Source organism: Homo sapiens, chromosome 8 (genome assembly GCF_000001405.40).
Source record: "Homo sapiens chromosome 8, GRCh38.p14 Primary Assembly".
Classification (NCBI taxonomy): Eukaryota; Metazoa; Chordata; class Mammalia; order Primates; family Hominidae; genus Homo; species Homo sapiens.
Window position 1 is genome coordinate 98,969,748 of NC_000008.11, and position 19,609 is coordinate 98,989,356.

The 19,609-nt window shown below is 39.4% G+C and overlaps 1 annotated feature.

Annotated features, from left to right (window-relative positions):
- Nucleotides 4,458-4,507: a silencer, noted in NCBI's record as "silent region_19405". NCBI's record gives its function as "represses an Ori minimal core promoter by ATAC-STARR-seq in GM12878 lymphoblastoid cells {active_cell/tissue: GM12878}" and the evidence as "EXISTENCE:reporter gene assay evidence [ECO:0000049][PMID:35858748]".

Here is a 19,609-nt window from a genome sequence, read left to right on the forward strand (position 1 = left end):
CATATAAAGATTCTGGGCCATTAACTAGAAGATAATAGGTATCCCCCAAATAGTGCTTATCCTTATGTTTTCCTTCTGCCTTTCTGGCCATTCCTTCTTAATATCCTTCAAGGGTTCCTTTTCCTCTGATGACCTGTTAAATTGGTGTTCCCTAAGTTTGTTCTTCAAATGAACACTCTCCTTGAGTGACTTCATCCAAACCCAGGGCTTCAGCTACTGTTTTTATGCTAGTGACTTCTAAATCTGAACCTCCAGGCTAGATCACTGCTGACATCTCTATTGGATGTCTCACAGACATATGAACTCAGTAAGTCCCAAACAACACATCTTTCTGTTTCACTCTTGGCCTGTCTCTCAGCAAGTGGCATCACTGAATCTCTAGATACCTAAGCCAAGGCCTGGGAATCTTCGTCTACTCATTCTCAGTCATCCCTTACACTCAATTAGTCATCAGGTTATCTTAAGTCTCCCTTCTTATCATTTGTATCAGTCTCTCCCTCTCTCCCTATCCTCCCTCAATTTCATTTCCACAGCCACTATCACTGCCTAAATTCAAACTCATCACGTCTATCAGGCATTACTGCAACAGTCTCCTAACTCATTTCCCTACAATTTACCCAACCCTCCTATCTGTCCTCAATATTACTGTCAAAATGATCTTTCTAAAAAGCAAATTCATATTATACATTTTTCACTTAAAATTCTTTCAAGAGCTTCCCATAGCTTTCAGGATAAAGTTCAAATTCAGCACACTAAGCCCTTCAGCATATAGCTGCTCCCTACCTCTTTAGCTGTATTTTCCACTAATTCTGTATTTTTTCATTTGCACCATTTGTTTCTGCTTTGAAGGATTACTTGAACTTCTCTAAAGGAAGCTATTTCTAGCCTTGGGCCTTCAGGCATGTCCTTGGGTGCCTACCCATCCCCTTAACTCCAAAATCCCCCTCAACTCTTTCCTTAAAGCTCAGCTCAAGGGCATTCCTCTGGACAGTTTTCCTTGATGTTGACCCTGGTGTTTCTGTTTAATGCTCCCATGACACCTGTGCATTGCTGTGTGACAGCACTTTTCATACTACACATCTCTGTCACTAGTTTGTAAATGGACCCCAAAGTTTACTCCACATTGTGTCCCCATTACCTAATCCCTAGTGCCTAGCTCATAACCAATGCAGACTGCTGGTTAATGAAGGAGTGAATTCAGGAAGAGAGTTTTAAACCCTTGGCTATGTTGTGTGTGAACCTAAGAAGCTGGCTGGGCATGGTGGCTCATGCCTGTAATCCTAGCACTTTGGGAGGCCGAGGCGGGCAGATCACTTGAGGTCAAGAGTTCAAGACCAGCCTGGCCAACATGGTAAAACCCCGTCTCTACTAAAAATACAAAAAAATTAGCTGGGCAAGATGGTGGACACCTGTAATCCCAGCTACTTGGGAGGCCGAGGCAGAAGAATCGTTTGAACCTGGGAAGCAGAGGTTGCAGTGAGCTGAGATCGCACCATTGCACTCCAGCCTGGGCGACAGAGAGAGACTCTGTCTCAAAAAAAAAAAAAAAAAAAAAAAAAAAAAAGAAGCTAAGCGAAAGGTAGGACTTTGAGACTTTGAGTTAAGGTGGCACGTTACTGGAGATTCCTTAAGCCTCATTCCTCCTACGCTCCTTTCTTTTCCACTTTACTTATGGCCAGGTTCCACCACTCACCCTAGGAACATGAAGACACAACAGGTTTTAGACACACTCTATGGAACAAACAATTAAGACCCTGAGTATTTCATTTGCTAGGCTAGGGAGATAATAAGATAGTCTGATTGGGACCTATCAGTGGAATACCCATCCTGCCCTCTACAAACTTGAGATTCAATATTCCTGTGAAAACCTGAACCAGAGGCTGAGCTCTAAAAGACTCTGTTTGGTTTTATTTTCACTGGAGAAACTGGATACATTTTTATGACTTTAGTCGATCTCTTCACTTTCTGTTTTTCCATTTTTTCAGATCTTTCTGGATGTTTTCACCTTTTGAAGCTGTTTCCTACCTCTTTCCGAAAGTAATAGAGAGAAAAAGGGTTAAAAAGAAGGAAAAGCAAAACCAACTAATTCAAACGTTAATCGAATTTTTAAAAAAGCTTTTTTGTTGGGGAGAGTCTCTGAGTTGGAAAATACCTTAGGAATCATAGACCTTACCCAATAACTTTAGTTAGTAAATAATGAGATGAAGGGAAAGAGGTTACTGACTTGCCCAAAACCACTTAAGCAGCTGAAAGCAAGAGTATTTTGGCCCGAAATCCTCCAAGTTCGTTTTTGCAATCTTTTCCTTGGGAGACTCTCTATACTTGCGCCCACAGCTAATACATTCTGTCTATGCAAGCCCAGGTAATTGGCAAACGTATATTTATTATATCTAACATACATTATATATAATTATAAAAAACATATGACCTTATCACACTAAGAAGAGAAGAGGCCACATTGTCGATGCTCAGGGCTCAGATTCGGCTCTCTATATTTTGCCCCTGGGAGGGTAAGAAAGGTTGCCAAAGGACCTCAGGCTCTCGGACACCAGGAGCCTCGGGCTGCACGGAACCACTGCTCCTCTAGGGCTTGGAGGGAAAGCCAAGGCCGCGCCTGCCGTAGACAGCAGATGGCCTGAGCAACCTGGAGGCGCGCCCTTCAGTGCCTTCCGGGAACTGGTTAGGAGTAGCCTGCGGAGAGCCGCGCTTGCCTCACTTTCCGGCGCCGGCTCATGGCTTAGGGGCCACAGATTTGGGGCTCGGGCGGGGCTCTGGGCACGTGGCCGGCGGGCCTGGGTGTTTGCCTGAGTCCCGCAGCCGCGGCCCGGGCGGGCAGCCAGACAGGCCGTGCCCAATGCTTGCGCGCCCTGCTCGCGCCGGGGCATTTTACGAGCCTCGACCGCTGCCCCCAGGTGCTCACAAACCCCCGTGCAGCCTGTAAGAAGCACCGCGGCCCAGTCTCTGAATCTCCGGGTGAAAGAACAGGCTTGTCTGAGAACCAATGTAGAAATCTCTCCTGTTTCACCGACGGCCAAAGAGGGCCTTCGGCTTGACCAACGGAGGAAAACGTCTTCGTGTGGAGATCGATTTCCTTTCGAGAGTTTATTCTATACCTGTGCAGCATCTTTTGTGTAGTAGAAACTGTTTTGCACTGTGAGTAAAAAAGACGAAGTTAGCCTTATGTGGGGGGGCGGGGCGGAGGCAGCTTATTTCCACATAAACTAAGAAACAATTAGGTTAAAAGAGTGAGGAGCCGGGCGCGGTGGTTCACGCCTGTAATCCCAGCACTCTGGGAGGCCGAGGCGGGCGGATCACTTAAGTCCGGAGTTTGAGACTAGCCTGGCCAACATGGTGAAACGCTGTCTCTACTAAAAATACAAAAATTAGCTGGGCGTGGTGGCGCGCGCCTGTAGTCCCAGCTACTCGGGAGGCTGAGGTGGTAGGATCGCCTGAGCCTGGGAGAAGAAGGTTGCAGTGAGCCGAGATCTTGCCACTGCACTCCAGCCTGGGCGAGCAACAGACCCTGTCTCAAAAACAAACAAACAAACAAACAAACAAACAAAGTGAGCGCTCAAACCTGAGTAGGGCGCCTGGGGGCAAGCAAGCGAGGGGGAGTGAGATTAAGTGGAGAAAGCGCTAAAGGGGAGGGTTAGAGACGTGAGAGGGGAGCGGTTAAGAGAGAAGGAAGCGGAGGGCAAGGAGACGTGGGGCGGGGAAGGGAGGGCAAGATGGGGGGGCTGGAAGGTGGAGAACTAGGCCGGGTGCTGTTCGGCGGGAGTAGGACTAAGCTGGGAAGACGCGGGTGGGGGAAGGGCTGAAGTCGGCGGTGATGGAAGGGCTGAAGTCGGCGGTGATGGAGAAGGGATGAGAGGCCTAGGCCTAGTTCGTGTCCATGAAGCCTCTCCACGTGGCCGACTTCCCTTAGAGAAGTCCCACAAGCCCTCAGCCCTCACAGCCTCGCCCGCGACGCCGTGCCCACCCCTCCCCTGGCAGCCCCGAGACTCTGGGCGTGTGCTTCCCGCTCCCCGAGGGCCTTAGGCCCAGCGGACGCCCGGCCGGAGCCTGATGCCGGCGGCCTCCCCCTCCCTCAGCGAGGCACGCGCGTCCCCAGGACCGCCGGTGCCGGGGCCTTTAACCCTGGCCGCCGACGCCGCGGGGAAAGGAAGCTTCTGCGGCTACAGATGGCGCAGGCCCCAGGTCGCAGAGAAGCCCTATCCAACTCTGCGGACTGGCCCTGGGAGAAAGGGCCCGGGAGTTGCTTCTCCAGTCGGTGAACGCTCCGTTGAGCCACGTCTATGCGCTTGCTCATGGATAAGCGCACTGGGGGACTATACTGCAGTGTGACCGCCAGTGTCCCCAGGGAGGCTGCGGAAAAGTAGAGGCAATGAGACCCGAGCAGAAATAGGGACTTCTCGCGGCAGTCCGCACGGAAGCAGCTGGGGAGCATCCAGCTCGACCCTCCCCACAGGCCCAGGGTCGGGACACCGAGGGAAGGCGCGGCGCGCGCGGCAAGGCCAGGGGCGCGGGGCTGGGCTCGGCCGGCACAAGTGCTCGGACCGCGGAGCGTCCTCGGTGAGGCGTTCGGTATGGATTGGGTAGGAGCGGCCCTGGGCGATGGGCCTGACGTCGGTGGGCGCAGTTGAGGCCACTGCAAGGCCGCTGGATCCCGGATCCGCACCCGAGACGGAGCGGGGGCCACACGGGATAACCGAGGGGGCGAACGGGAGTTTCGGGCCTCCGCTCCCTCTCCGGGTGGGGGACAGGTCGCCGAGTCCGAGGTCGGGCGCGAAGGCCACTCGCATTTTCCCGCCTTCCGCGAGCAACCCAGGGGCCCTGCGGGAGGAGGAGAGGGTCCCGGGAGTCCGCCCTTCCCTGCGCCTTCGGGACCGGCAGGAGGCGCTGCGCGGGCGAATTAAAAGAAAAGGAAAAGCTCGTAGTGGAGGTGTTACCGCATCCTGCCTTTGGACGCTACTCTTAGTTGAGTGACCCGATTCGGACCTTAGGGGCGTTAGGGTCTCCTCCACCGCCTCCCTCCCCTGTTAAAAGTGTGTGTGTGTGTGTGTGTGTGTGTGTGTGTGTGTGTGTGTGTGTGTGTAAAATTTAAAATTTTAGATATGCTGACATAGGCACTTAAAGGAAGGGTGTAAGGCAGACATTCTAATCCTTGACTATCTGTGAAGGGCTCGCCTATGATTGCCATTTTTTAAAGATCCTAAGGTTTTATAAACACTGTCTTATAAGACAGACACATTCGTAAAGTTTGCTTCTAATTCTTTTGTTGAAATAAAGATTTATATAAGAGGACTATTTCTGCTTATTTCTGAGAGAAGATCACATATCAGTAACAGAACAAGGTAAAGTACCTGTACTTCCAATATGTAATTGGAATTCCAGTGTATTTATTATAATATATTATAGTATACTTAGAGCATGCATTATATTCTAATTGTGTAACAGTTATTTGTGTACATGTTTTATCTTGTCTTCTAGACTGTAAGCTTCTTGTGGGCAGAGATGGTTTTTTTGTCTAACACGGTACAAGGCATTGAGTGAATAAAACCGAAACTGTCTCCATTTACTATCCAATGTGAATTCATATAACTTGCTTATATATTTTATAATGTATAAGTAAATATAAATTTGCCCTAGAAAAATAACTTATACACTCAATATTGTTCATAATCATTTTCAGTAGGAGAAAACCAATTTTTTGCTTCATGATATAAAATTCAGCATTTGGCATTATATTTACTGCAACTGTTAACATTAACCTTATATAGAGCAAAAGTTACAGGGATTTTTGGCATAACCTTTTATGACTAACAATTCATTCACCAAATTACAAGTACTTCTCCAGACTATAAAGAGCAGAAATGTATGCTATAACAAGACTGTTGCATATATTTTTCAAGGACTGATTAACATTTGGTTATTACATTTATTTTTTAACTCTATAAAGAAATTAGCAGTTTAATGGCAAGATTTTAAAAAATCAAGTCATCAGGTTTTTTTAACCAGTAGAAAATCATTTGAGGCAAAAGGAGTTTTTTTATTTTTTTTCAGCTTCATTTATTCTGCTTCCAAAGTTGGTAATGATTTGGTCTTAGTGGAAAATTCTTACTTTTCACACCAGTGATTTTATATATATCCTACTCACAGAAGTGTACCAGGGATATATATATATATATAGATAGATAGATATTTGTTGACTGAAATTTATTCTGTACCCCTGCAGAATGGGCACTACATATGGGCTCTTTGGAATAATATTCAGTAGTTAGTTTGTTGGGACATTTGATTCGTATCTTTTTTTTTTTTTGGATACAGGGTCTTGCTCTGTTGCCCAGGCTGGAGTGCAGTGGCATAATCACTGCTCACTGTGATCTTGATCTCCTGGGTTTAGGTGGTCTTCCTACCTCAGCCTCCTGAGTAGCTAGCACCACAGGTGTGTGTTGCCATGCCTGGCTAATTAAAAAAATTTTTTTGTAGAGACACGATCTCACTATGTTGCCAGGCTGGTCTAGAATTCCTGGGTTCCAGTGATCCTCCCACCTCAGCCTCCCAAAGTGCTGGGATTACAGGGGTGAGCCACGGTGTCCGGCTTTCATTCTTACATTTAATTCAATTAACCGTAATTGAATTGTGATTCTGCTGTGCAACTGGAGTAACCAGCAACCAGTAATATCTTGATTTCAAATTGCGTGGGAGACTTGGTGTCCCTGAACCAAATGATTGGATTTGGAGCTAGAGAATGCAGAAACAAGTTGTGATATAGTTTTGAAGTGAGAGTTGTGTGGGGAGAGATGATGTTTCTAGTCTAAGATTTAATATATAAAAGTACAAAATGTGTGTCTTTAAAAACCAATACTGTGATAGATTTATAGCTAAAATAGCTCTGCTTTCTTTGGAAAAAACCTATACAACTTGAAATTTAAAGTCATAATCCTAGAATGTCTTTTTAGGTTTGTTCAACTAAATCAAAGCAACTTTTAAAAGTTTATTTCCTTAAACTTTGAAATGCAATATATTTTGGCCAGGTGACTTGAAATAGAAAACAGATAAAGATGACTTACTGGTTAGTGAAACACTAGTCTGAAACAGACAGCTTACTTTTTTTCCCCCTCATTTCCCCCAGACCAGCTGTTTATGTTTAACCTTCATTTACTACTTCAAGAGCCATATTTACACTTCTCCAGCAACACTTTATCCATATGTTCCTTGGCCTTATACATTATATAAGGCTGTTTTAGGGCAACTTCCTAATCATCTCATTTAAGAAAATGTCACACTCACCTCAAATAACCTTATAGAAGATGTCAGATGATATCCCTGCTAAAATAACCCCATAGAAGATGTCATCTGATATTACTTATAGGTTTCCTTTCATTTTTACCAGTAATAGTCTTGGCCAGGTTTTTCTTCCTACTTGGACAGCTAGGATGTTTTCTTTTTTCAATTGATAGAAAAAAATTCTTCTAAAAATATCTCATAATTCACTGTAATCAGATAATGAATTTAGCTTTTGTCTTAGTCCATTTTCTGTTTTTATAACATAATACCATAGGCTGAGTAATTTACAAGGAAAAGAAATTTATTTATTATAGCTCTTGAGGCTAGGAAGTCCAAGGCCGAGCGGCTCACATCTGGTGAGGGCCTTTGTGCTGCATCATCCGATGATGGAAGGTGGAAAGGCAAGAGAGTGTGAGAGTGCAAAAGAGAACTGATCCCCAAAGCCTTCCTTTTAAAAGGCATTAAATCCACGCATGAGGGTAGAGCCTTTGTGGCTTAATCACTTCTTACAGGCCCCACCACTCAATGCTATTATATTGCCAATTAAATTTCAACAGGAGTTTTGGAGGAGATAAACATTCAAATCATAGCAGTTCACGCTTAGCACCTCAAAACTCATTCCTTCTCGTATGCAAAGTACATTCATTCTATCCCAGTACCCCCCAAAGTCCTAACTTGTTGCAGCATCAACTCAGAGCCCCAAGTTTGCATGTAAATGAGATATAGGTGAAAGTCAAGCCATGATTCATCCCGAGGTACATTCTCTTCACCCATGAACCTGTGAAATCAAAACAGGTTATCTAATTCCAAAATACAAGGTGGAACAGGCAGCGTATAGACATACCCATTCCAAAATGGAAGAATAGCAAGAAGGAAGGGATAACTGGTCTCAAGAAAGTCCAAAACCCAATAGGGAAAACGGCATTGAATCTTAAACTGGAGAATAATCTTGCTTGACTCTATGTCCTGTATCCTGGATACACTAGGGTGGGTATTGGGCCCTCAAGACCTCAGGCAGCATTATCCTGACGGCTTTGCTGGGCTTAGACACCCAGCAGCTCTTACAGACTTGAGTCTTACGCCTCCAGCTTTCCCAGGCTAGAGGTGGACCTACAGTTGTGAGGTCTTGAGGACTGCTACACTCCCATGGCTCTAGTAAGCATTGCCCTAGTGGATACTCTCCAGCAGCTCTGCCTCTGCTACAAGTTTCTGCCTGGGCTCCCAGGCTGTCTGCTACATCCTTTGAAGTCTAGGTGGAGGTAGCCATGTCCCCACAGCTGTTGCATTCTGCTAGCCTGCAGACATAACACCCCATGGATGCTGCCAAGGCTTACAACTTGCACCTACTGGAGTGGTGGCCAGAGCCACACTGGGCCTGCTTGAGCCACAGCTGGGGTGGCCAAAGAGCACTGTGCTGGATTGCGGGGAGCAGAGTCCCTAGCTGCCCTGGGGCATTGAGCCCTGGGCCCATCCCCCAAGCTATTCTGATCTCCTAGAGATCTAGGCCTGTGAATGGAGGGGCAGCCTTAAGGATCTTTGAAGTGCCTTTGGGGGTCTCTCCTACCATTCTTGATGAATAGCACCTAGTTTTCTTCTATCCATACTAATCTCTTTAGCAAACAATCCTTGGCCACACTTTTAGTATTCTCTCCCAAACACACTTTTTAATTTTTATTTTATTTTATTTCATTTTATTATTATCTTTTTGAGACAGAGTCTTGCTCTGTCACTCAGGATGGAGTGCAGTGGTGTGATCTCGGCTCACTGCAGCCTCTGCCTCCCAGTTTCAAGCAATTCTTGAGCCTCAACCTCCTGAGTAGGTGGCATCACAGGCGCATGCCTCACGCCTGGCTAATTTTTGTGTTTTTAGTAGAGACGGGGTTTCACCATGTTGGCCAGGCTGGTCTTGAACTCCTGACCTGAAGTGATCCACCCGCCTCAGCCTCCCAAAGTGCTGGGATTACAGGCATGAGCCACTGTGCCTGTAAAAACACACTTTTTTATTCTTAACATGGCCAAGCTGTGAGCTTTCCAAATCTTTCACTCAGTTTCTCTTTTAGTTACAAATTCCATCTTTAAATCATTTCTTTCCTCTCACATCTTACTCTATGTGGTTAAAAGTAGCCATGCAGAAGACTGACTGCTTTGCTGCTTAGATATTTCTTTTACTAGATATCCTAGTTCATTTCTTTTAAATAAGGCCTTTCATAAAGCTCTTGGGCATGGACACAATTCAGCCAAGTTCTTTGTAACTGTATAACAAGGATGGCCTTTACTTGGGTTTCCAATACCTTGTTCCTCATTTCCATCTGGGACCTCATCAGAATGGGCTTTACTGTCCATATTTCTACCAGCATTCTGATCATGACCACTTGAGTAATCTCTAAGTGTTTCAGACTTTCCCTATAGCTCTTCTCTTCTTCTTAGTCCTTACCAGAATTACCCTTAATGCTTCATTCATGACAATCTAGCCATTTTCCACCCTGTTCCTTTAAATTCTTCCAGCCTCTACCTGTTACTGAGTTCCAAAGCCACTTTCACATTTTCAGGTATTTGTTTTAGTAACAGTCTCACTTCTTGGTACCAGTTTTCTATCTTAATCTGTTTTGTGTTGCTGCAACAGAATGCCACAGGCTGGATATAAAAAGAAATTTATTTCTCATAGCTCTGGAGGCTGGGAAGTCCAAGGTCAAGGGGCTCACATGTGAGAGTCTTCATGTCATGCCATCCCATGATGGAAGTGGAAGGGCAAGAGAGTGTGAGACAGCAAAGGAGACCTCCCTCTGAAAGCCTTAAAAAAAAAAGTATTAAACTCCTCCATGAGGGCAGAACTCATATGGCTTAATCACCTCTTAATGGCCGCACCACCCGATACCTTTACAATGGCAATTAAATTTCAGTAGTTCTGGAAGGGATAAACATTCAAATGACAGCAGCTTCCTAAAGAGGATTATAATGAAAAGATACTTTTTCTTTGTTATAATTAATTGTCTTAAATAAAACAAATGATTATTATTACTTGGTTCATAAATCCATACTAGAATGTTACTGCTTTAAGCCTATGTAGAGAATACTATAGGAAACAACAGAATAGACTTTACTTTTTGTCTGATATCTTGCTTATTACTGCTGCTTCTTTATGTTCCAGAAACTTAAAGAACTGACAAGTAAGGCTTAGGAAGTGTTTTTATGGACAAATCATGTGATTATATTGACTTATTTGGCTGCTTAAAGGTAGTTATATATATTGGGAAAAAAGTCAGGTCACGGAATTTTCAAATTGCTTTGTCTAGGTTGCTTACTGGTAGTTAGTGGTTAATTCAGTGAAGCTGGAGTTAATATTCTTTTATTTAAAATCCATTACAGCACCAGCATGGTGGCAAGTGCCTATAATCCCAGCTACTCGGGAGGCTGAGGTGGGAGAATTGTTTGAGTCTAGCAGTTCAAGTCCTGGACAACATAGTAAGATCTTTTCTCTACATAACTTTTTAAAAATAAATAAATAAAACCTATTATAAGGTACTGATTATCAAATTGACCTTTAGTCATTCAATATCGCCAGGTTCAAGGTTTTCATTTATAAAATAGGCATAATCATATTTATCACCTTTGAGGAATATTTAACATTTCAATAGAAGAGATGCCAGATAAGTTCTATTATAAAAATACATTTAATACATTACAACCAATTATTAGATCACTTGTATCTTTAAAGTTGCTCAGTGGTTTACAAATGATATATGGTCTGAATGAATGTGTCTTATTATTCTCTGCTTTGCTCTTGGCTCAAAAAGATACTAAATTTTACCAGAATCTACCACTCCTTTCAAAGTAGACCCAACCGACCAAAAAACCCAAGTTGAACTGAAATTTCATTTTGTCAAAAACAATTTCCTCTTTGCACAGAGTTAGATTGTCTCATCTAGGTTAGTTCCGTAGTGCTAATTCTCCATGGTCTTATGGCCCTTCATTTTTAAGCCTGTGGAGTCATCCCTCTGAGTGTCCATTTCTGGAATCAATGTGAATAAAACTGTGCCTGAAACTATCCAAAGCAAAAGTTATAGGAATTTTCAATGTAACCTTTTATTACTAATAGAATTCTCTTACCAAATTACACACTACTTCCTTTCCAGGCTATAAATCATTATGCCAGCTTTGACAGTTGTGAGATATTGACAGCTTCTGACTGTTAAACTAAATCACACTTTTCACATTTAACTTACTACTCTTAATTCTGACAACCTTATTGCCTGAGTTACTGATTTTGGCACTTAATCAGAGACTTCCATTTTAATATTTGTTTTATGCTTTGTTCCTCTTGAGACTGTAAAGCCCCTGAGGTCACGTTCTATGTATTATACATTTTTTTTTTTTTTAAAGCCTCACAACTCCTGAGTGTAGTTTTGGCATGGCATGTGGTACTCACTCAGTGAAGAATTCTTCAAACATCAACTTTTTTTTTTTTTTTTAGTATTCTGTAAGGCAAAGAGATATGAAGAATTAAAATACGTAATCTCTGCCTCTGTGATAGATGCAGTTTAGCCAGGAGAAAAGCAGTCATACTAAGATCCACATCATTTATTAGATCCAGAACCCCTTTATGCATAATTCTGAAGTCCAAAAATTTCTGAAAATTTATTTACTTATTTATTTTTGATAAAGTATTTGGCAGTAAAATCTAACCCGAGATTAAGTCATTTGGTAGAGAAACCTGAACTGGTGTGACTGAACTGGTGTGACGCTATAGTCTTCATTTATTCTACTTAAGAAGAATATTCATATGTTTCACTGCAGAAATATTAATGTTTTTGATTATAATGTTATGTTTTACATAATATATGTGCTATATTACCTTTCAAAATGTGAAAATTTCCAAATTCCAAAATACATCAGACCTCATGACTTTTGGGAATCTCTTAATGTACAAAAAGTTAAATGATAAAATATTTAAATATCAAATAATATAGTAATAGAAATATTTAAAATCAGTATTTGGAAAATTGCCAGTACTTAGGTGATAGTGTCTCTGTGGGGTGTCCCTGCAAATAGGCAGGTACTCAGCCCTAGATCCCAGGCCAGAGGCAGGTGAAATGGGAGTATTTTCTGACGTGTCCAGGCATAAGAGCCAGAATATCTGTACAAACCAAGTTCTTTAGGGAACACTAACAGTCAAAACAGGGAAACTGAGTTTAGTCATCAAGGGGTTAAGAGATGGCCCAAGAAAGGAACCAAAGAGACACTGGAAAAGAGAGGAATTAAGGGTAAGAGTCCCAGACAGTTGCCTCAAATGAGGATCATAGATCTATCTGCAACCTATGGATATCAGTGGATAGCTGTGATGTGCAGCATAGACAATTGAACTGGTATAGACAATTGGTGCTAGGATCTTAGATCTGGAAGGGGCCTTTAAATTAAAGATCATTTACCCCTGCACCCCCTCCCTGTTTTACAAATGAGTAACATAAAGTTCAATAATTATTTTTCCAACATCTAGTTAGTGATTAAGCTACACACAAACCCAGGTTTCATGTTACCTATCTGGTGCTTTTTCTACTGCTATAGAGAGAAAGTATTGCAGTTTCGAGTGGTCAGGAATTATTTTTCAGAAAATAATGAGACTTGATGATGATAGTAATTTGCAAAAACTTAATTCTGCATAAATCTCTAAATGTATTTTTGTGTATATTTTCCTGTTTTTAAGTACTTTGATGAATACCACTGGGAATTGTAAGACCTGGGTTCTAGTTCTAGCCCTGCACAGATTATCTAAACAGCCTTGTGAACCTCTCTGAGATTCAGTTTTCATCTTTAAAGAAGGTAGGATCAGGTGACCTTTAAACTCTCTTATTCTGTCATTTAGATCTGTTTCTGTGTTTGCTAAGACAAAATAATTTCCATTAACAATCACTCATTTTAATTAAGGATGACAAAGGCATAGGTAATATATTCAGATATCTCTGCATAGATATATTCCTTGGAAAATCTAAATCTGTATCTGGAATATAGACTCAGATATTTTGGTGAAATGAAAATACAAAATAAATTAATACCAACAGTGCATTCAACAGTAATCAGTTAACATTCACTGTGTGTATGCAAAGCACCGAATAAGGTATGTTCTTTTGCTTTCAAGTTGTTTAGGATTTAATTAAGAGTTTACTTTAAATAGTTAAAAAACTAAGTAAACACAACAAGCTCTATGGAACTCAGATTATGTTCAGCTGGAATGAATCAGCCTCTAAAAGTGCGGTATGACTGGCTATTCAACCTTTTGTTGGAACTGTTGAAATTACTTAGCATTTCATAATGTAAATATTTTGATACCATGCCCTCCTTGATTAACATGAAGTGGTTTGCCATCATTGAAAAAAACTTGTAACCCTTACAGATTAATGCAAGAGTATAATGTTTCTAATTTATTATCATCAAGGATATTATAACTGTATCCCCAATCTCTTTCGTCAGAGTCTCAAGCATGTTAGGGGAGTATCATATTCATTTCACTTTATGTTGTATTAACTAATGGTAAAAATATTTGGTTGGAACTGCATAGCATTGTGATTGACTGGTGAACATTTTAATAAAGGAGATCTAAATAAAGATAACATTTTTCAAAAGAAAGACATTGCTGGTGCTTGACTACCTGTTCTGTAAGATGTTTATTCAGTCTTGACAGTTAATTTAGATTAAAAAATTTGAAGTTACCAGTTTGTGATAATCTTTACAGAATGAACCTTTTTGTGAAAATTTCTTGTTGGTGCTTTCCTAAACAAGGGTTTTTTCAAACTTTTGCCTGCAACCCACAGTATGAAAGAAATTTTGCATTGTGACCCAGTACACATACAGGTAACTGAAACAAAACTTCTGTGAAGTAGTACTTACCTTACTGTGTGTGATACACAAGAATTTTTAAATGCTGTTCTGATTTATTTTATTCTTTTAAAATTGTTATGTCAGAAACCCACTAAATTGATTTATAACTCCCTGAAGGGACATAATCTGCAGTTTGAAAAGCTTTAGCTAAACTCTGTTTTGAAGATACTTACTATGTATTATTTACTTTTTATTCTCCATTGCCTAAGTCTGTGCTCAGCACATAAATGGTATTCAAATAATGTTTGTTGAGTGTTTTAATTGTACTTGATCTAGTTTCAGAAATGTTACTGTGCTGGGTGTGGTGGATTATGCCTATAATCTTAGCACTTTGGGTGGTCAAGGTGGAAGGATCACTTGCGGCCAGGAATTCAAGACCAGCCTGGAGAACATAGCAAAACCCGGTCTCTACAAAAAAATACTAAAATTAGCCAGGTGTGGTGTTGTGTGCCTGTAGTCCCAGCTACTCGGGAGGCTGAGGCAGGAGGATGGCTTGAGCCCAGGAGGTTGAGGCTGCAGTGAGCCAAGAGCATGCCACTATACTCCAGCCTAGGTGGCAGAGTGAGACTCTATCTTAAAGGAAAAAAAAAAAAGAAAGAAAGAAGAGAATAAGGAAAAAAACAGTTATCTATGCAGGCTGTGTGAAGCTATTGAAAGAGAGTAGAAGAAAATTATTGTAATTAGAAGATGAACATGAAACATTTATGAAAGTCACCATACATTTTATAAAAACACAGTAACAATGTGTTGGTTCTGTGTAAGAAGTTATAGAATTAAGTGCTAAATTGTATCTTTTTCAGAGGCCACTATTTAAAAGTCAGAATGAATGTTGGCTTTACAGAATGAATTTATTCCTGTAATTTATCTTGAAGCTATTATCTCAGAACCATATAGTGTCTTTCACCTAACTGCTTTTATATGTACATAAGTGTATGTGTGTAAAGTTGCATTTTGATTAAGTGTTATTTTTTTCTAAGAAATATCTTGTAAGCTTTAACTTATTTTTTATTACCATTCTTTGAACAGTACTCCAAGCCAAATACTATTTGTATATAAATTATATTTTTTCTTTTTTGATTTTTTAAGAGTACAAAGTTTCCCCCACTCTGCATAGTAATATTTTCTTGATATAACTTAAGTATGGTAATGAATTTAAACTTTTTCATCTATACCTATTGATAGTTTCTTTGTGGAGATTTTGATAAATATTTTGCCACCTTATAAATTCAACTGAAATAAAATTCTATGATAACAAATTCTATCAGAACAAAAATTTCTGCAAAGATTGCCAGTTACTCTCCAGCTGGTGACCTTTTTCTTTGTAGCAGTAATTTGTATAATAGGGTTTTGTTTAGCCAAAGAATTAGGTTAATTCAAAAACATTTTCTGGGACTTGATTAATTTAAATAAACAAAAGATACATAATTTATTGGTAGCAGAGTTGATCAGGGTTAAATTATTTCAGGTAATTTTCACAACTGTTACTTTGTACTTAATGATATACTACTTATTATTCTAAAAATTAATGTTTTCTTCTCAGCCAGATACTAAGTTCTCCAATGGACTCCTCTTTTCCTTCTTTTCTGTTTCCACTTTTTTCCTTTCTTTTTCCCCATTTTTCTCTATTTCTTTTGTATCCACAAATACTTCTGTGCTCTATATAATATTGAAACTCATTGAATGCTTGCTGATTAATCTTGAATGATTTCCTCGAAAATTTAGTCTCACTAAGGCTCTCTGATTTTAATAATATCTAGTGTATAATGAATCAGGGTTTTAAGTTAGAAAACAAACTCTAATTTTGTTTCTTTTCATTAATTAACTCAGTGATTTTAACCTCTCTGAACATTTTATTGTCTGTAATTTACATAGGGCTAATATTTGCTTTTGCTATGGTCTATTTCATAGCATAATGTGAAGATAATACGAGATAATTATAAGAATGTTATTTTAAAATTTAAAAGTATTTGATACGCATAAATGGTTAGTGAGGCCCTTCATGCATGGTTATGGTGATTAAATGAGATGATGTATATATATAAAATGCCCAGCACAGTGCTTGACACAGAGTGAACACTTAATAATGGTGGTTGCTGATAATATTATTTAACTTGAATATGGATTTATAAATTTCAGTCATTTTATATTTCACATTTTTTGCTTAATAGTCTAAAAAATATTACTTTTTTATAAATCTATTTTTTATGTTTCTTATTTTCTGTGGCTCTCTTAAATAGAAAGATCTTTCTCTCCAAATCTGGTCCATTGTTTTGTTTCTTATACCTATTTTCCATTTTATAAATTTTTGTATATAAAATTGTTAAAATTCATAATTGGATAATTAAAAATTTAAAAAATTCACAGTAATTCTTTGACAGTTATTTCTGTGGTATTGAAAAATTTGAGTTCCCTATTCTGAATTCTGATAATTTGGATTATTCAATATTTAATCATGTAATAAGAGGACATTTAATTATCTGAGTAATAGCAGTTCCTTTGAATTATACAATTTTCTCTGATTATATTTTATCCTATATCAGATAATAAAATTATGTTGCATTTAAAAAAATTAGCAACAGATACTTCACCCAGAAGGGGAAATTTCAGCCAGTTGAAGATAAAAAGTATAAAGACAATTTAAATTTAACAATTTAAGACCTATATAGGTAATTATATTTTACTTATTTATAATATTTCTATGGCTTTCTTCATATTGTTGTCCTCAAACTATTTGTATTTTTGTTTTTCTGCTAAAACAGTGATTCCATTATAGTAATTGGAGACTTCTTACTTTAAACATTGATAATTCAAGCCTTTGCAATTCAAAATTATATAAATGGATTATTGTTCAAATAGTTTAATTATTTCTAAAGAAGAAAAAAAGTGTTCATGTGTGTGTGTTTGTGTGATTTAATTAAATTACTATTCTTTTTTTCCTTCCGGGAACCTTTCCCAAAATGTTAGCAGAGGGACAGAGAAACATTGGCAACTTTTGTTTCACTTGGTGAAGGAGTCAGGAACTGTTTATGTGCAATAATCCAACATCAGCTTAAGTTTTTTGGCTGTCTTTTCACATGAGCAAGAAAAAGTTTTGCTTCCAATTCCTGCACATTATTTTTTTTAATTGTTTAGTTGGATTTCCCATTCAGCACCACTTTATTTTCATTCTTTTGGTTTTTCATCTGTTCATTTTGAAAGGCTAAGTAATTAAAACAGGTTTGAAAACGTTTGTGTGTATGCCTGTGTGTGTGTGTGTGTGTGTGTGTGTGTGTGTGTGTGTGATGCTTTGTTGGAGCATCTACAAAAGTAATGAAAATGCTTGTCCAAATCCTCAAGATGCAGATGTTGTTATGAATGTTCTGAAGGCAGGAAACCATGCAATCCTATTTTAAGAAATTCTTAAAATCTGATTTTTAAGTCAAGTAAGTTTCCTCCCTACTCTTTAAAGTACCTGACTGGCAGAATTTTTATGGCACCCATTTACAGAAAACAAAACAAAACAAGCCTTCCAACTGATGTTTGAATACCACAGCTTTTGGAGACGGAGATCTAGGGCTTAATTTTGAGTTAGCTTACATTTTAATCTACCTGATTGCTGACTTCTTAAAATTGTGTTAATTTTTCATCTGTTTTTCTATTTCCTTCAGTATAATTACATCGTCTTCTTAACCAAGAGAATGTCTGTTCTTCTCCTCAGCACTGTATCATTAATGAAGATCTTTAACTGTGTTTCCAAACTCGCTACAGGTTAGTACTTGACTTTTGGTTTGCACAGATTCATAATCAGGATTTTGCTGACTATATTATCAGTCCTTTATTTACTTTTTGTGTCATAAGTTATTTCCTAAAATTACTGTATTTTGTTTTCCTAATTCTGTTCTCTAGTTACTTTATCTTTCATACAGGTTCTAATAAAAATCAACCAATTAATCATAGCAAACCCCAAAAACCCTTCCTGCCTTCCTGAAAATCTTGACTCTTCATATTTAGTTACCTTTTTATTTTATTTCTTGATTATTACCTTCAAAAATGACTTGAAGTCTGGTAGTTTCTGCCTCTAGAAATTTTGCTTATCAGTTCTTTTTTTCAAAAAACCGTTGTTATAGAGGTGGTAAATATCCAAAATGAGATGAAGACTTGAAATTATCCAATAAATCAGAACTGCCTTGGCATCCAAACCAGGTAATACAGATAAAAATAAAATTCACTTTGGGACAACAGCTACTTGGTTGGTATTATCTTAGATTGTCTTCCAAGATAGTCCTCTTTTAGATTTTTGGTATGTGTATGAACAATTGATTCCAGTTTTCCCTTCTCTGTAGAAGCTTTGCAGCATAAATTAATGTTGGCCTCATTGATGTTGGAGAAAGGAATTCCAAACCCTTTGTTGAAGAGGCTGTGGGCATTCTGAACTAGGCATCCCAGGAATGGTGTCTGACAAAGGGTTAAGTGGAGAAGGATGGTTTATAGTTTTGTTGTTACACTTCTTTGATCTTTGAATTCCTTCAGTGATTTTGTTTTCCTAAGGACAGAACATAGCAACAGACTTTCTTCCGTGTTATTGTGGATCTCCTTAGACCACTGTTATTTCTTCATAGTATTTCACTGTGAAGTACTTCACTGTACTTCACAGTGCATCACTGTAATTTTCCCTAAAGGTTGGAATTCCCAGGCTCCTGTCCTTTATTCTCTTTTTCACCCCGTGTGCTGTCAGTCTTCCCACCCTCATTTCCATTCTTGCTATATAGATATCTTCTATTTTTAAATCCTTAGGCATCACCTTTAGGTATCTCTGCTCCCAACATTCCCTCTAAGTCAAGACATATATTTAATTGCCTGATGGACATATCTGCTTAGATGGCACAAAACACCTCATTTTTAGCAAAACCAAAACTAAACTAATTTTCTCCCATACTTACTCTTTCTCCTGTATTTTCCATTTCAGTTATGTGGCACCTAGCCAAGAGGCCAAAAATGTTGAAATCGCCTTAACTCTTCTCTTTAAATCCTATGAGTTTGTGCTGTCTTTATTCCTAACACTTCTCAAAACTGCCTCTTCCATATCAGTATGATTTCCAGAGTCTAATAAAGTGATCAGTCTAAAACAAACGTGAACAGATCACTCCTCGTTAAAAAAAACCACTTAATAACTCCCCATCATCTATAGAAAAAAATAAATCAATGATCTAGTTCCTGCCAACCTCCTAACACTTATTTTTGGCAATATGGGACTATATGTAATTTCCAGAATTCATTATGCTATCTTCACACCTCTGTGCTTTGGCTTATGTTCTTTCTTGCCTAATATTTTATCCCTTTCTCACTCCGTCCTTACCTGGCTAACTACTGTTCATCAAGATTCTAGTTGGATATCATTACTTTTAAGAAATCTTACTGGTTGGTCATGTGACCCTGTTTCTTTTGATTTTCCATTGTAGGCTTTGCT